The sequence below is a fragment of the Homo sapiens genome, chromosome 9 (assembly GCF_000001405.40).
Source record: "Homo sapiens chromosome 9, GRCh38.p14 Primary Assembly".
In the NCBI taxonomy this organism is placed as follows: Eukaryota; Metazoa; Chordata; class Mammalia; order Primates; family Hominidae; genus Homo; species Homo sapiens.
In genome coordinates, this window is record NC_000009.12 from 38,335,457 (window position 1) to 38,353,296 (window position 17,840).

The 17,840-nt window shown below is 48.1% G+C and overlaps 1 long non-coding RNA gene across 2 annotated transcripts in view, besides 1 other annotated feature; it reads left to right on the plus strand.

Annotated features, from left to right (window-relative positions):
• The window catches only part of LOC107987065 (uncharacterized), a 65,083-nt gene that overhangs the window by 19,334 nt on the left and 27,909 nt on the right, over nt 1–17,840 (plus strand). The gene's annotated exons all lie outside the window — the stretch shown is intronic.
• Nucleotides 3,905–3,994: an enhancer, noted in NCBI's record as "active region_28414". NCBI's record gives its function as "activates an Ori minimal core promoter by ATAC-STARR-seq in GM12878 lymphoblastoid cells {active_cell/tissue: GM12878}" and the evidence as "EXISTENCE:reporter gene assay evidence [ECO:0000049][PMID:35858748]".

A 17,840-nucleotide genomic window follows, 5' to 3' on the forward strand; every position in this document is an offset into this window, starting at 1 on the left:
TGAGAAAAGTATAGCCAGGGTATAAAATAAGAACTACTTTCCAACAATGTACTTCACGAAGCCCTTGTCCCCTGAGGTGTTCTGGAGTAAAAACGGATTTATGGTCAACAATTTGGGGCGGGGTGGGGGGAGGATACTGCCTACTCCCCCATTAGAGATGCATAAAGCACATTAGCATATTAAAGGCTCTGAAAAGCCTTTAAGTTAAACCTAATTAATTTTCTTGAATACAGCTATTCCCCCAACTTTATTTTACTGTAGAAACCTTTCTCCCCATACAACACCTACTAACATCCTATAGGGAAAGATGCTTTGGGAAAGGTGGGATTAGATAAATAATCACAAAAGTATAGTAGCTGTGACCTTGGAAACTGCTTGGGTGAGCAGGTGTTTTAGCAGCATGGCTCCTGTTTAAACAATTACCCACCAGCCATGAGGATACATTTGGTGCTGGTTTTACTTGGATCAGGACATCCTAGCTGTGGCCAAGGTGGAGCCTTGACCTCCATTGTTCTAGACTCCATGTTTTAATGTATACAAAGGCAATCTATTTCCTTTGTCTCTGTTGTAGGAAGGTTAGGGACAGCTCCAAGTCTGTTTTTGGGTGGGATCGGTAATTGTTTAAACCCCGAAGAAGAGAAAGGATTCCTGTTTGCTGTTCCTGCAGGCTCAAACCTGCCTTTCGCATACAGACCAAAGACAGGATGAGACTCAAAGCAAGAGGCAGCCACATCAACATGGGAAGAGATGCTCTTTGTAGTCTTGGCCAGATGGAAGCCAGAGTCCCCCATGAGTTAGAACCCCCTCCAGTCACCTGAGAAATGTGAGCCTTGAATCTTATGGCCAAGCAGGCTGTCATTGCGTACTACAGATCCATGCAAGCAGATTTCCGTGGGTCTGCTGAAGTCTGGGGAACCTGTCCTGTAGACCGGGAGGAGGTTTCCTGTTATGTTTTTCCTGGCCTGGGAGCATGACTTGGGATTGCTGGCTGGTGTATCCCCTGCAAACTGACAGACCCAGGGCTGCCAAAGGGAGGGACTGAGGACAGAGTGAGGGGGAGAAATCCCCAAGGCCCGTCTGTGGGGAGAGTCCCGTTCCCTTCTGTCACAGAGACAGGCCAGCAGGCGCCTCCTGCTGCTCCAGCAAATCGAAAACCTCTCTCTCCTGCTATCCCCCAGATGCACAGACCCTTCGAGATCCATCCCAGACACAGCATGGACTGGCCTAAACCTGGTACACCAGCATTTCACTCCAGAGCTGTCCTTTCTTGCCTGTGTGGCCTCGGGAAAGTGCTTGACTTCCCCGGACCACAGAACATAGGTAATGAGGAGGATTAAATGAATGAGAGCTCCGCGTGAATACATCAATGGTGCGGCACGCGCTGTGGGGGATTCACATAGACATTTTAAAATGCTGCCCCTGCCTTGCGTCCAGCTTTTTCTGATTCTTCTAAAGTAAACTTTCATATTCCCAGGCCTTTCTTAAATATGACTTGGTTTATCAAGAAAGTGAGACTTTCTCACCCTTTCCACTGTGGACGTAAGACCCCTGTATCTGAAACTGAACTGAACGTAGCCATCAGAGATACTTCGGAGGCAATTTTGGAATCAGTTTTGATTAGTTCAAGAAGTTATTCTTGGACATGATCTCTGTGAATTATGTTTTCAGGGAAGTTGGGATTTTTTGTTTTGTTTTGTGTTGTGGTTTTTCATGAATGTGCTTCCATCTTAATTCGGCAAAAGATTATCCTGGACCAAGGGCAATTCATTCTCCTTTTGCTGTGGGGATTTCCAGAACAAAGAGATATCGAGTCCCAAACTGGACTGACTTCATAGATGGCAGAAGGAGAGAGAGCCAGCAGGATAGCAAGAAAGGGGGTGGGGAGAGAGAAAGAGAAAAGAGCACGCGCGCCAGCCTCAGACAATGAGTGGGGAGAGTTGAGAAGAGAAAAAGGGAGAGATTGGTTTTCAGATCTGTCCTGAACCTCTAAATTTTATTCATAGAAGTCAGAGCCAGCCTCGGTTGTAAAAGCAGCAGTTAACGTAACTAAGGCCTTCTGTCTGAGGCTTCCTCAAGCTCCTTGGTGGATCAGTGGCTTATGTGCTGTAGGAAAGAGATCAAGCCCTGTTTGAATACAGAAATTGCTTTCTCACCCTTTCTTGGTAATAAAATCCAGAAACAGAAACTGGCATGGGAGTAGGTTTCAGCATTCCTGTTGCACGGGACACTGACAGTTCTCCATTCTCCGATGTGGATCCCTCCTCCCCGTCCCCAGCACGGTCATATTTCTCAAATGCAAATGGAACCAGGGGACCTCTGCATTAAACCCTTTGAGCTCTCTTACTGCCACAGAAAGTGAAATCCACCCCTTGAGGACTGTCCCCTCAGTGTCTCACTGCAGATCCTGAAGGTCCCAGGGGAAGAAGACCCCTCCAAGCCTAAGCGCAGCAGGTCCCTGGCCCTGCCACACCTCTAGGGGATCCCACATCTACTCACCAGCCCCAGTACAGGTCAGGACATACAGGCCCATCAGGAACCCCAGAGAGGCCCAGACACTTTGAGGTCATTTAATGTGTAATACACATTAGCATAGCAACGGCTCTGAGAAGTCCTGCAGTGAAGTAACTTTGTTTAACTAGGCGCTTTCCATGCTTAGCTAACCCTGGACCACTTTCCCCGTGGAATACCCAGTAGCTCGTCAAGTAGCACTCCACAGAATGCTGTAAAACGATGGACAGGAGGCATCCACAGACATGTCCAGTCCCTCGAGAGAAAGTGTCTAATTCAGCTTTGGGGCCACAGAACCTAGCATGGGCCCTAGAAAAGAGTTTGTGTGGAATAAATAAACAAGCAAATTAATGAAATCATGCCATTGTTAACCCAGGCGGAACCTGGGAATTATAACTGCATGCCAAACACTATTTTCCAGGGCAACTAAGTCTGTGGCCAATGCATAGCTTTGTTGAGACCAAATCTCTTTTCTCCTCCCCACCCCTCAGCATTTGTACCAGTTAAAAACTGGCAGACCTTGAACCAGATCTGTCTAACATATGTGTTTTGTTTGGCCAGATCAGGGTTTTTGTTATTTTTTAATGCCATTAGGTAAGGGCTGAGCTCTGCAGCACAGCCAGACTCTGCCTCTCCCTGTCCTACCCCAACCTCTTCCCACATTCGCATCACCTGCTTAGCTCCCGAAGGCTTTGAGTTTGCCATCCTGGGTTTAAATCTCCCTGGGAAGTTGCTTTTTCTCTCTGCCCATAAACATCATGAATTTATTTTGAAATGGATTTGCCCAGATGAAATCACACAGATCTTTAAACCTTAGACTGTTTGCAATGAAATATTTACACAGCCAAACGTGGCACAGGCCCCGGCACACTTAAGGTGACTCTCTGAGCCAATATACTGATGAGGAGATGGGGATGGTCTCATCCATATGCTCATCTTCCCAGAGCTTCTTAAGCTTTAGTGGGCATTGAAGTCACCAGAAAGCTTGTGGAAATCCACATTGCTGGGCTCCACCCCCAGAGCTTCAGGACCAGTAGGTCTACATTATTCCTGAATTCCTAGGTAATGCTATGGCTGATGGCCCAGGGACCACACTTTGAGATTTGCTCCCCTACTGCTTACCAAGCTCTTTCACAATGGGCATCTTATTAGACCCCAACAACCAACCTAGGAGGTGAACAAGGCATGAATAACCACTCGCAGTTCACAACTGTCACAAGATGACTCAGAGAGGTTAACCAATAACACAAGGTCACACAGCTTGATATGAATTGAGGTCTTTTAGTGCCAAGTCCAGCTTCCTGCCAGCAAGGCTGTGGTTGAAAGAGGCTGTCTGACATCACTGTTTAGGACAAGGGAACTGGACCCGTGAACGACAGAGCCAGCATTTCAGGAAGTTACTTTCTGCCACAGAGACCTCTACTTCCAAGGCAGGAGCTGACAGCCTCCCTCTGTTCCTCTCAGCTCTAGGACTCCACACTGTGGCCCTATGTGGACAAGAAGGAAGAGGTTCCAAAGGAGCCCAGAACGCCCCACCCCCAATATTTGCCCCCATAGTGGTCCCAGGCAAGGCAGGAGAGGAGCAGAGATGCCTGCTCACTAGAGTCAAGACATCCCTTGCTGAATTTTCCATGTAGCAACCAAAGCAGAGTGAGAGACAGGCACAGACTGCAGCTTCTGGGAGGGAGATAGAGGGGGGCACAGACCATATGGAGCAAGAGTGACAGAATTTGGCAGTGCGGCCTCCACAGATGGGCCTGCTTATGTCCAGACACAAGCTGAGGCCAAGGACTGAATCATCTCTCTAGCAATTTCTTGTTTCCAAACACGTCTTTTGAAGAATGTGGGGATGCTGGGAGCACACATCAGAAGCCCTTGCTGGGAAAGGATAGAGAGACAACAGGAAAGAGAAGTTGCTTTTGCAGGGGGGCCACAGGTGTGGATGGAAGGACAATGAAGGGACCCAACATGTCCACCTGATGGGGTGGAAGTCACTGGATAGTGAGAGGGGAGCATGGAGGTTTGGGCAGCACAAGGAGGTCCATATCAAGGGTGTTGGGTGTGTTTTCTGGGGTGAGCCCCACAACTCTACAATGGAGTTAGCACCACCACCAAGCCCCACTGAACAGGAGAAAGACTGAGATTATAGATGGTAAGTGATTTGCTCAAGGGCTCCCAGCTGGCAAGGGCAGAGTCATGAGTGAGTGAACTGAGCATTCACACCTATCTGAGGACCCTCCCTCCCACCCTGAGCTAAGATTCTTATATTAGTCTCCTAGGTGCTCCTTGCGCCCCATCCCCCTGGCATGGCCTTCCAATAAGTTACTGGGTCCCCACTAGGGCTCCCCAGAATCTGTCTTCAGGATAAAGGCTGGGCGGCTCTGTCTGGCCGATATGGTTTGGCTTTGTCCCCACCCAAATCTCATCTTGAATTATAGCTCCCATAATCCCCATGTGTCATGGGAGGGACCTGGTGGGAGGTAATGGAATCATGGGGGACAGTTTTCCTGTGCTGTTCTCATGATAGTGAATAAGTCTCAGGAGATCTGATGGGTTTATAAAGGGCAGTTCCCCCGCACATGCTCTCGTCTGCCACCATGTAAGAGGTGCCAATGTTCCTCCATCTTCCGCCATGATTGTGAGGCCTCCCCAGCCATGCAGAACTGTGAGATCATTAAACCTCTTTTTCTTTATCAATTACCCAGTCTTGGGTATATCCTTATTGGCAGACTAATACACTGGCACTCGAGGCCCTGTGAGGCCAGGCTCTCGCCTGCCTTTCCAGCCTCATGAGCTTCACTAGCTGTGTGTCCTGGGACTTGCCATCCCCTGTACACATTCAGTGCTGCCCAGCTCTAGTCTTGAATGGGGGCCCAACAGTCACATCTCCCTGTAGCTTTTCCACTTTATGTTATCTTTCCTCATGCCTGTGTCTTTTCTCTCATTTAAATATCTGGTCTTCGAGCACTACGAACTTCTTCCCTGTGTTAGTCTGTTTTTGCATCACTATAAAGGAACAACTGAGACTGGGCAATTTATAAAGAAAAGAGGTTTAATCGGCTCATGGTTTTGCAGGCTATACAGGAAGTGTAGTGAGAGCCTCGGCAAATTTCCAATTATGATGGAAGGCAAACGGGGAGCAGCCATATCATATGGTGGGAGCAGGAGCAAGAGAGAGAGTGGGGAGGTGCCACACTCTTTTAAACAATCAGATCTCACTAAACTGAGTGAGAACTGAGAACTCACTCATCAGCAAGCCATTCATGAGGGATCCACCCATGTGACTCAAACACCTTCCCTACCAGGTACCACCTCCAACATTGGAGGTCACATTTCAACATGAAATGTTTGGAGGGGACAAACATTTAAAGCATGTCACCCCCCTGCACCATGAATATCCTTTCCACATGTGCACCACATTATGGCTTGCAGAATGCTGTCCCCCTGCAAGGTGTCATACGGGGTGGGTATTAGCCCCTTTGCAGACTGAGACCAGAGAAGCAGAGGGAGATGCCCAAGGTCTCACAGGTAGTTGACAAAGCTGCAGAGACTGAGGCCCAGGTTTCCAGGCTTCAGGTCCAGTGCTCTTTCCACTGTGCCTGGGTTTGGGGGAAAGGTGACTTTATGGGCTTGAGAAAAAACCACCCACCCACAGAGAGATGGTGCCCATGTCGGGGAGGGCAACTGTTATAGTTTCCTATTGCTGCTAGAACAAACTTCATGAAGTCAGTGGCTTAAACAACACAAATGTATTATCTTAAACTTCCAGAGGATAGACATCCAACATGAGTTTCAGTGGGCTCAAGTCAAAGTGCTGGCAGGGCAGCATTCCCTTCTGGAAGCTCTAGAAAAGACTCCATTCTGGAAGCTCTAGAAGAGACTCCATATCTTGTCTTTTCCAGCTTCCAAAGGCCGTCTATATTCCTTGGCTCATGGCCTCTTCCTTCAATTTTAAAGCCAGCAATCATGGATCAGGTCCTCCTCAGATCCATGGATCACATCACTCTAACCTCCTCTTCCACCTCCCTCTCCCACATCTAAAGGACCCTGGTGATTCCACTGGGCCCACCCAGATAATCCAGGATAACCCCCTTGTTTAAAGGTCAGCTGATTAGCAACCTTAATTCCATCTGCAACCTTAATTTCCTTTTGCCATGCAACCTGACATATTCACCAATTCTGAAGATGAGGGCATAGATATCTCTCGAGACATTCTTTTGACTACCACAGAGGCAAAGAGCAGATTCCTGCCCGCAGAGCCTGTCAATGTGATCACTTGGCAGAGAAGGTGACTCAGGCCTGGACCAGATGTCCAAATGTCCTTGGAGAGCAAGGGCAAACTCTGGAGAGCACATGGACAAGCACCGTGGCTTCTGATAGTCCAGCCCTTCAAAGCCTGGAGCAAGCTCTCCAGCTGCCCAGGGGTACTGAGGCTACCCCACTCGAAGGCATTAGGTGCTTTCCAATGAGTTTCCCTTATCTTATTCATCTCTTCATCAACTGCCAGATACACTACCCCTCTAACTAATATCAGAACATGGCAATATCTCCAACCAAATCCATCTATCACTCCCTTACTCCCACCCCTAGACTCCTTGAGGTCTAACCCACTAAAAATGGGAATTGGATCACTTAGAATTGAATCTAAACTTCTTATCAAGGCCTTCGGGGGTCCTCTGGCCTCAAGCAATCGTCCTCTTGTTCACAGAGCTCCAGGAAGACTTGCTTCCTTTCCATCACTTACACAGCACACAGCTTCCTGCCTCAGGGCCTTTGCATACATGGTTTCCTCTTCCTGTGACTCTCTTTTTTCTATCCTTCCCTTGGCTGATTCTTGCTCAGCCTTTAGGTCTCAGCCCAAATGTTGGTTTTTCAGAGGACACTTTTCTGACACCTGTCCCCCACCCCAGTTGCGTCTCCTATGCCATTGTCTCTCCATGGGAACCTAACTCTTTACCTTCATGGCAGCTATTTATAGTCATTGTCTCTGCTATTGTTCAGAACAGGACACACTTGGGCTCTGATGCTGCAGGACGGTCATCCTTTGAATAAAAAACTTCAGGATTAAAATGTGCCAAATTCTGCAATTTCATCCTCTCTTTTCGACGACCAGGAATGAGTTCAGCCTTCAAAGCACAGCTCCTGTAGGCTGATTTTTCTTATGGGCTTTGAGGTTGGACAGACTCACTCTCTGCTTCCTACTCCACCAACTGGCTGAGTGGCCCTGTGCAAGTAAGTCACTGTGCCTCTCAGGGCCAATGGCTCTGCTTTACCCAGCTGACTTTGGCCCAGGAGGGTGGCAGAGAGGCCTTCACCAGTAGGTGACAGGAGGTCCAGAGGCCATTCAGTCAGAATCCAACACCCAACAGAGACCAGGAATGGTGATCGCTAACCAAGGTGTATGTTGTCCCCAGGATGTCCTTTCTGACCCCTCCTCTCCTTCATCTCCCATCATCACTCTGCATCCTCAGCTCAGAACACATGCTGTCTGACCTGGTTCCGAAACATCACTGTCACTGCTCAGAAAGCCTGACTTTCCCATCAAAGACTTCCAGGGCATCCCCAGAGCACTCTGGGGCTGGTCTCAGAAACACAGAATAAACAGCAGCCAGTCCATTGCAGAACAGGCCACAGGGCCAGCTCTGCTTCTGCGTCCTCCATGTCAGGTGCTTCTCTGCCAGCAGCTCCTTAGTAAGGCAGCCTTAACAAGCTCGTGCATAGGGTGATTCTTGGGGCAGGATCAATCTGCTCTCTGCTGTCAGCTTCCCCAGAGAGGCACACTCGGCTGAGATCAGGTTGGTGGTCCAGAGATCTTGCAGATGCCAAGGCTCTTGCGCCAGTGCAGTGGGAAGAACCAGCATTCACCGTCCTCATCCCTTCATCTCATTCAGAATCACCACAACAGTAACAACATGAATCAAGAAGGGCCATGATTTTTTTCTGAGTGCCTACTATACGCTAGGCACATGCTGCATGATTTACCTGAATTCTCCTTTCGTTTTCCCAACAAACCCCTTTTACAGATGAGGAAGCTGAGGACTGAGAGGTTAACTGACTTACACAAGGCCTCTCAGTCTATAAGTTGAGAAGTCAAGATAAGAACCATGTTCTCCCCAACCCCTCACTGAGATAATTATATTCACAAAAATGCATCCCATGTACACAACATTTTACAGCACTCAGAGCTCTTTCCCATCTGCTTTTGGCTCTGATCTTTGATCAATCCCTTGGGCTGAGTATTATTAGCCCATTTATTCAGATGGGAACATTGGGATTCAGAGCAAGGAATTGACTGGCTCAAATCAGCAGGTGTATGAGTTATCTATTGCTGTGTAACATATTACCCTAAAATTTGGCAGCTTAAAATAGTACACATTTGTTTTCTCCCAGTCTCTGTGGGCCTGGGATCAGGCATGACTTAGCGATATCTTCTATGTCATCTGATGACAGATGCAGCCTCTTCTGTGAGGCTGCAATGGAGGTGTCAGCCCAGGGTCTGTGGTCTCATCTGATGATGCCTGGGGGAGGGATCTCCTTCCAATCTCATTCATGCGATTGTTGATGAGATTTAATTCTTTGGATGTTGTTGCACTGAGGACCTAAGTTCCTCTCTAACTGTTGGCCAGAGACCCCCACTCAGTTCCTTGTCATGTGGACCACTCCAACATGGCAGCTTGCTTGATCAAAGTGTGCAAACCAAGAAGGCAAGAGGCAGGGGGAGGGGGAGACAGAGAGAGACTGTTAGCAAGAAGGAATTCACAGTCTTTCGTATTAATAGCCCAGTCATGGAAGTGGCACCCATCTCATTTGCTATGTGTCTGTATCCATTAGAAACAAGTCACTAGATCCACCCCAGACTCCCACCATAACAAGGGCATAGTTACTAGCAGGTGGGGATTACTGGAGACAATCTTAGAAGTCTGCTGACTACAGCAGGGAGCTCAGCTGGAGTCTAGTGTGTGCAGCTCTGAGTCTGGCCCTGTCCTCCTGGAACTGGGAATGTGCTGGCCCAGTGGACCGATGTAGCAGGTGGCAACCTTCCCCTCGTCCATCCTCTAGGAAGCTCTCAGGAAGAGAGAGGCGGCCCCACTTTAATTACATATCTCCCCCAGGGAAGCCTCTGCTGCCTGTGTTCTTCTCTGGGTAGTTTTGTTCCCCCTTTACTGCCAGCCCTGCTTTAAATCAAAGCTGCTGCCTGTTCAAGGGCTCCCAGCCCCAGGCAGGAAGAGGATTTATGAGTGGGTGATCCAGAAATGTAATATAAAGGAGTCAGGACCCAGGCAGTAATGGAAATGGAGAGGTCCTGGCGAGCGAGACAGGCGGCCAGGGCCCACTGACCTCTCAGGCCCAGCAACCACCCTGCCTCTGCCTTTATGAAAAGCTTCCATCATCCTTCCCTTCTGCCTACCCCACTCTCCCTCCTTGCTGCCTGCACTACAGCTCCCATCCATAGCCAGAACCCAGGTCACCTGCATCCACCTGAATCTGCCTTTCTAGAGCTGCTTCCTCTGTCTCTCCATCTCCTGTCTCCCCTTCTCCCCTTCCCAAATCTGCCTGGGCTCAGTCTACACTGATGGACTTCTGTCTCCAGGCCTTTGCTCAGGCTGTTTCTCCTGGAATTGTCCTTTCCCCATGTCCCTGTGAGCAAACCTCCTTGAGGGTTCCTTCCCTGACCTGTCCCTCTGTCCCTCTCTCATGGCACTGAGCATGGTGAGCCTAATATTGGAACCCATTCTCTCCCCCATCAGATGGAAACTTCTTTAAAAATAGGGGCTGGGGCTGGAAGCCACCATGGTTCTGCCACTAGCTGGCACGTGGGAGGTGCTCATTGATAATGGGATAATGGAAAGGAAGGTCCAGTTCAGAATCACCTCTGAGTGCAAAAAACCCCCGAACTCTCCTTTTACTCATTCTATGTGGCGGCAAGTGGCTGCTCATCCCCTGCTCCTGCCCGCTACTGCCTTCTGCTCTCTTCCCTGAGACACCTCTCCTGTGACAGGTCCTGGGTCTGCCTGGGTACAGCACCTAGCCCTGCCACATACAACATGCTTGCAGCCTCCCACCTGCATCTTACCCGGAGCAAAGCCCTCCTTCCCAGCCACAGATGCCCAAAGGGACACAGACTTTTGTGCTCAGAAAACTACCACCCCCGCCCCAACCACACTCTCCACCTGACCCACTTGCACCTCCAAGGGCCTGCTTGTGTGGCCTGAGGATCATCCCTGACTACCTGTTCTCTCTCACCCCTCCCCCCAGTCCATGTTCTGTAAGCTTTTCCTTCTGTTGAAGGTGATTTTCACATGTGCATCTTTCCCCACCCTAACAGCCACTGCCCTGTCCAGGCCATAGCCCTTCCACATTGTTCTCCCTGCCTCCACCTCACCCTACTCATTCTATTCTCCACCCCAAGGACCAGGGCCGTTATCCTTATCAAAACTTTCGGTGCTCTCCATGGGCTGAGAAACCAGGCTCATGCTCTTCAGCTGACAATCAAGCCCTCTGCCATCCGGCTGGCCTGGGACTTCTCTGGCCTTATTCCCCATTTCCCCAGCATCTCCACCCATACTCTTCAGGGCCACTCACACGGGCCCACCTCCTATTCTCCAGTACCCCTGGTTCTCTCCCACCTCCGAGCCTTGGGTCATGTGGTCCCTTCACTTGGAAACACTCTTCCTCCTCATCTCTGCCCATCTAATCTACTGTCCTTCCAGGACAGCCCAAAGGCCATCTCCTCCATGAAGTCCTCTCTGACTACCTTCCAGAAGGCAGGGACCTCTCAGTCCTCTGAGCTCCTATGACCCACACAAAAAGCATCCGTGTCTGGCCACCCTTCACCCCAATTAGGCTTTCTGGGTGCAAGGACCCTGTCTCATTTCCCCTCTTCCAAACCCCACCCCCTGCTGCTGCCTCTTCTATGGAGACAAAGACAAAGGCATCCCTTGGGGGAGGGGAGCCGTCTTGAAATCTCTGGGAGGCGCCTGACAGCTCAGTCCTACTGAGAAGAAAGCGGCCCAGAAGGCTGCACTCCCAGGGAGGGGTTCTCACCAGAAGGCCCCGCGCTGGGCCTGAGCCAGGGAGTGTTTGCGGGAGCCCAGGGGTGTGTGTGTGAGGGGTGGGGGACTTGGCAGGCGCTGGGATGGTTATGATCCATTCTTGTTCCAGTTCCCTGATGTCTTTGTTTAGAATCCCCTGCTGCTCCTCACCAGGCAACAAGGGGGGTGTGGATAGCTCAGAGAAGGGGCAAAGGAGCCTTGGGAGGAGCCAGTTCCCCTCTTTTAAGGGGAGACCTAGGAAAAGGGAGGGAGCCCCAGAAGGGGCCCTCTTGTTAACGTGCATCCTTCACCAGGTGCAGGGCTGGCCCTTCAGCCCCTTGGGTTCTGGCTCCCACTCTTCCAGGCTTCTTGTCTGTCTGTCTGTCTCTCCTTAGTCTGCAGCCTCTTCCTCTGGACTAGCTCCTCTTTCAACAATGCCCTACATTCCCCTTTCCCCCTCCTCCCACCCCCAGTGCTGTCCTCTCCACAGATGCCAGCAGGCTGTGGCTCAGATCCACGCCCTCTTCCTCAGCACCCCAGCCCATGCACTTGTCCAAGCCAATTCATTCCAACTCCTATTCTTTTGCCCCCACTCTCTCTGACTCAGAAGAGTTTAACACACAATCACCAGAGCCCAGAGAGACAGCCCAGGTTCCATTCCCAACTCTGCCACTTACCAGCCAGGTGTCCTTGGCAGGTCCCTTCACCACTCAGAGCCCCGGTCTTCTCACCTAAATTGATGTAATAATACCTATCTCAGCCAGATGCAGTGGCTCACACCTGTAATCCCAGCACCCTGAGAGGCCAAGATAGAGGAGAGGATTGCTTGAGCTCAGGAATTCAAGAGCAGCCTGGGCAACATAATGAGACCTTGTCTACAAAAAATTTTTTAAAATTAGCCAAGCATGCCGTCACGTGCCTGTGGTCCCAGCTACATGGGAGGTTGAGGCAAGAGGATTGCTTAAGCCCAGGAGGTCAAGGCTGCAGTGAGCTCTGATCACGCCACTATACTCCATCCTGGCTGAGAGAGTGAGACCCTGTCTCAAAAACAAAACAAAACAATACAAAATGAAAAACCTATCTCACAGGTGGTGAGGTAAGAACTGAGCGGGGCACAGAGCAGGGCCAAGCACACAGGATGTACCCCATAGAAGGCAGCATTGTCAGGAATGCCCTGTCCTCCCTAGTAAATGTCATGGCCACCAAGCATTGAGCCCTACCAGTGAGTCCTGTGACGACCCCCCTTTCCAACTGATCCTTCTCAGTGTCCTTCCCAGGATCTTCCTTCTCTGTTCATCCCCTAAATGTTGACAGCCCCACCTGCTGTCCCTCCTCCTTCTCTGTCTGGGTAATCTCAGCCACCCTTGGGCTCCTGTAGCCATGGGACACCATCACCTCTGAACCTGCATCTCCAACCCAATCTCTCTCTCTCTGGAGCTCCAGAGGCCCTTCTTGGCCCTCTCTAGCAAATTCCAAAATGTTACATATGTATGATTCCATTTATATAACATTTATGAAATGGTAAAATTTTAGATATTGAAGACACATTAGTGGTTGCTGGGGAGGGCAGGTGCTGGGATGGAGGTGGGTGCAGTCATAAAAGGGTATATTAATTTCTTTTTTATTAATTTTTTATTCCCATAGGTTATTGGGAAACAGGTGGTGTTCGGTTACGTGAGTAAGTTCTTTGGTGGTGATTTGTGAGATTTTGGTGGATCCATCACCCGAGCAGTATACACTGCATCCAATTTGTGCTCTTTTATCCCTCACCACCTTCCCACCCTTTCTCTCTGAGTCCCCAAAGTCCACTGTGTCTTTCTTATGCCTTTACTTTCTCATAGATTATCTCTCACGTATGAGTGAGAACATACAGTGTTTGGTTTTCCATTCCTGAGCTACTTCACTCAGAATAATAGTCTCCAATCTCATCCAGGTCACTGTGAATGCCATTAATTTATTCCCTTTTATAGCTGAGTAGTATGCCATCATATATATATGATGGAATATATATATGTGTGTGTGTGTGTGTGTGTGTGTGTGTGTGTGTGTATAATACAACAGTTTATCCATTCATTGATTGATGGGCATTTAGGTTGGTTCTATGTTTTGCAATTGTGAATTGTGCTGTTATAACCATGCATGTGCAAGTATCTTTTTCATATGATGACTTCTTTCCCTCTGGGTAGATACCCAGCAGTTGGATTGTTAACTCAAATGGTAGTTCTCCTTTTCGTTCTTTAAGGAATCTCCATACTGTTTTCCATAGTGGTTGTAGTTTACATTCCCACCAGCAGTGTAGAAGTGTTCCCTATTCACTGTATCCACGCCAACATCTATTATTTTTTATTATGGCCATTCTTGCGGGAGTAAGGTGATATCACATTGTGGTTTTGATTTGCATTTCACTGATCATTAGTGATGTTAAGCATTTTGTTCATATGTTTGTTGGCCATTTGTATAACCTCTTTTGAGAATTGTCTATTCATGTCCTTAGCCCACTTTTTGATGGGATCGTTTGTTTTTTTCTTGCTAATTTGTTTGAGTTTGTTGTAGATCCCAGATATTAGTCCTTTGTCAGATGAATAGATTGTGAAGATTTTCTCCCACTCTGTGGGTTGTCTGTTTACACTGCTGACTGTTCCCTTTGCCATGCAAAAGTGCTTTAGTTTAATGAAGTCCCAGCTATTTACCTTTGTTTTTATTGCATTTGCTTTGGAGTTCTTGGTCATGAAATCCTTACCGAAGCCAATGTCTAGAAGGGTTTTTCCAATGTTGTCTTCCAGAATTTTCATAGTTTTAGGTCTTTAAGTCCTTGATCCATCTTGAGTTGATTTTTGTATAAGGTGAGAGATGAGGATCCAGTTTCGTTCTCCAACATGTGGCTTGCCAATCCCAGTACCATTTGTTGAATAGGGTGTCCTTTCCCCACTTTATGTTTTCGTTTGGTTTGTCAAATATCAGTTGGCTGTAAGTATTGGGGTTTATTTCTGAGTTCTATATTCTGTTCCATTGGTCTATGTGCCTATTTTTATGCCAGTACCATGCTGTTTTGGTGAATATGGCCTTATAGTATAGTTTGAAATCAGGTAATGTGATGCTTCCAGATTTGTTCTTTTTTGCTTGGTCTTGCTTTGGCTATGTGGGCTCTTTTTTCATCCATATGAATTTCAGGATTTTTTTTTCTAATTCTGTGAAGAATGATGGTGGTATTTTGATGGGAATTGTGTTGCATTTGTAGATTGCTTTTGGCAGTATGGTCATTTTCACAATATTGATTCTACCTATCCATGGGCATGGAATGTGTTTCCATTTGTTTCATCTGTGATTTCTTTCAGCAGTGTTTTGTAGTTTTTCTTGCAGAGGTCTTTCACCTCCTTGGTTAGGTATGTTCCTAAGTATTTTATTTTATTTTTGCAGCTATTGTAAAAGGAGTTGAGTTCTTGATTTGATTCTCAGCTTGGTCATTGCTGGTGTATAGAAGAGCTACTGATTTGTATACATTGATTTTGTATCCAAAAACTTTGCTGAATTCTTCATAAAAGGGTATATTAATTTCTAATTTCTTCTGTAATAAATGACCACAAACTTAGTGCCTTAAAGCAATACAAATGTATTCTCTCTCAGTTCTGGAGATCAGAAGTCCAAAATTAGTTTCACTGGGCTAAAGTCAAGGTGTTGGCAGGGCCGCAGTCCCACTGAAGACTCCAGGGGGAAACCTGTGTTTTGCCTTTTTCAGCTTCATGAGGCCGTCTGCATTCTTTGACTCATGACCTCTTCCTTGCATCACCTTAGCCTCTTGCATCCATCATCACATTTCTTACTTCCTGCTTTGACCTTCTTGCCTCCCTCTCACAAGAACCCCTGTGATTACTTTTAGGGCCTACCTGGATAATCCAGCAGCATCATCTCCCCCTTTGAAGATCCTTAACTTAAGTACATCTGCAAAGTCCCTATAACATTCACAGATTCCAGGGATTAGGACCTGTATCTCTTGGGGGATAGTGGTAGTTGCATTATTCAGCTTACCACAAAGGGCTACACAAGGAATCTTGGTGGTGTTGGAACCGTTCAATATCTTGACTATGGTGTGGTTGTATCCCATACAAAGATCTACCCAGGGGATAAGATTGTGTAAAACTTAACACACACACACAATTGAGTACAAGTAAAACTGGTGAAATCTGAATGAGATGTGTGGCTTTTATCAATATCAATATTCTGATTGTGATATTATACTATGGTCTTGCAAAATGTCACCATTGAGGGGAAACTTGGCAAAGTGCATAAGAGTTCTCTCTGCATTCTGTCTTACAACTGCATGTGATTCTACAGTTATCTCAGGAAAATTTTTAATTATTAAAAAAGTGCTAGGCCAGGTGTGGTGGCTCATGCCTTCATATAGTTTGGCTGTGTCCCCATGCAAATCTCATTTTGAATTGTAGTTCTCATAATCCCCACATGTTGTTGGAGGGACCTGGTGGGAGGTAATTGAATCATGGGGGCAGTTACCCCCATGCTGCTGTTCTCATGATAGTGAGTGAGTTCTCAAGAGATCTGATAGTATTATAAGGGACTTTTACCCCTTTGCTCAGCACTCATTCTCCTTCCTGCTGCCATGTGAAGAAGAATATGTTTGCTTCCCCTTCTGCCATGATGGTAAGTTTCCAGAGACCTCCCCAGCCATGCTGAACTGTGAGTCAATTAAACCTCTTTCCTTTATAAATTACCCAGTTTTGGATATGTCTTTGTTAGCAGCGTGAGAATGAACTAATACATGCCTGTAGTCCCAGCACTCTGGGAGGCCAAGGAAGGAGGATCCTTGAGCCCAGGAGTTCAAGACCAGCCTGGGCAACATAGAGAGACCGTGTCTCAAAAATAGTACTAGGCTGAAGGTATGGCAGAAGCCAATTTGGTCATCTTCTCAGCTCCCTTTCCTTGTAATCTTGCAGTCCTGCCCACAAGGATGGGCTGTCAGCTGCCATGTGTTAGAAGCTGAGCTGACCCTCTTGGCTACAGGTGATGGCACCAGAAGTAAGCACCTGACCCAAGATGAGCCCGTTAGAGCCCATTCTTCAGTTCTTTGGTAATTTAGAATTGGGACGCCGGAGACAGCCACCCTGTGGATGGCTGGACTTGTCACATAGAAACATGACACTTGGGGTGTCCATGTTCTACCACGTACAGGGAGGAACAGGGGATGTTCATTCAAAGACAGGAGATCGGAGTCCCTCTGCAGAGGGAAGCAGACAAGAGCTGAAGAGGGTGCCTTGCTTTCCTATTGGCTTTCCACTTCCTGTTTCTAGTCCTTCTGGAGATGTGGCCCAATTTAGCCCCTGGATTTCATGAGATTCCTTGTAACAAATCTCCTCACTGCCACTCCCTGTCCTCCAGCTAGCTGAGAAAGATTTCTATTATTTACAGTGCGGACTTTGAGCCATGGCCTGCCTAAGCCCTGGGTGCCCTGGGGAGGTTTGTGTGCTACCCTTCCAGGGTTCAGCACAGGGAGGGTATGCAAAGGGTCCTTTTTAATCTTGGACTTTGACCCCACTCCTGTCCTGTATCCTGTCAGTCTGTAAAATGCAGGAGTGGGCCTGTCAGCTGCCCTGAGAGCCCTCTCAGCTCTGCGGCTCTCTGCAATCAGTCCCACGCATGGTGCACACAGTGGGAACTTGCTGACTGCTCATAGCATGGGGTGGAGGCTGTCCTGAGAATTGTGCCAGAGGATGGTCTGAGGACAGTGGGCAAACCCCAAACACTGTCATGTCTAGAGGAAAGGAGACTGAGAAGAGCCCAAGTCAGCTCCCCTAGGCAACCAGGAAACAATTTGCAAGATGGAATTCAACAAGCAATGCCAACAAGATCATAATGACCATATTTATGGGAGAACGTGGAGGCCCGCGTGCGGGTTTTCATTATCATGTGTATAAATGTGATGGCTCTGTGCAGCCAGCCTCCCGCTCCAGGCGGCAGCTGTTGGCTGGTGCATGGTAATTTGATGTAAATTGTCCCCAAATATGGTAGTTCCCTCCTCTGCCAGGGGAGTTTGAAGTCACAAACCTGGAGATGTTGGCAGCAGATGTTTTCTTACTCCTCCGCAGGCTGCTGGTATTGTGGAAAAGGATAACAAACCCAGAGACAATGCTTACCTGCACCACCTCTGGTGTGCCTGCTGTGAGACCTGCAGCACACGCGCCACCCCTCTGAGCCTGTTTCCACATCTGTAACATAGGCACAATGTCCTGTCAGGGTTACTTTGAGGAGTAGAAGAGATATACCCAGAGCATCCAGTACAGTGCTTTT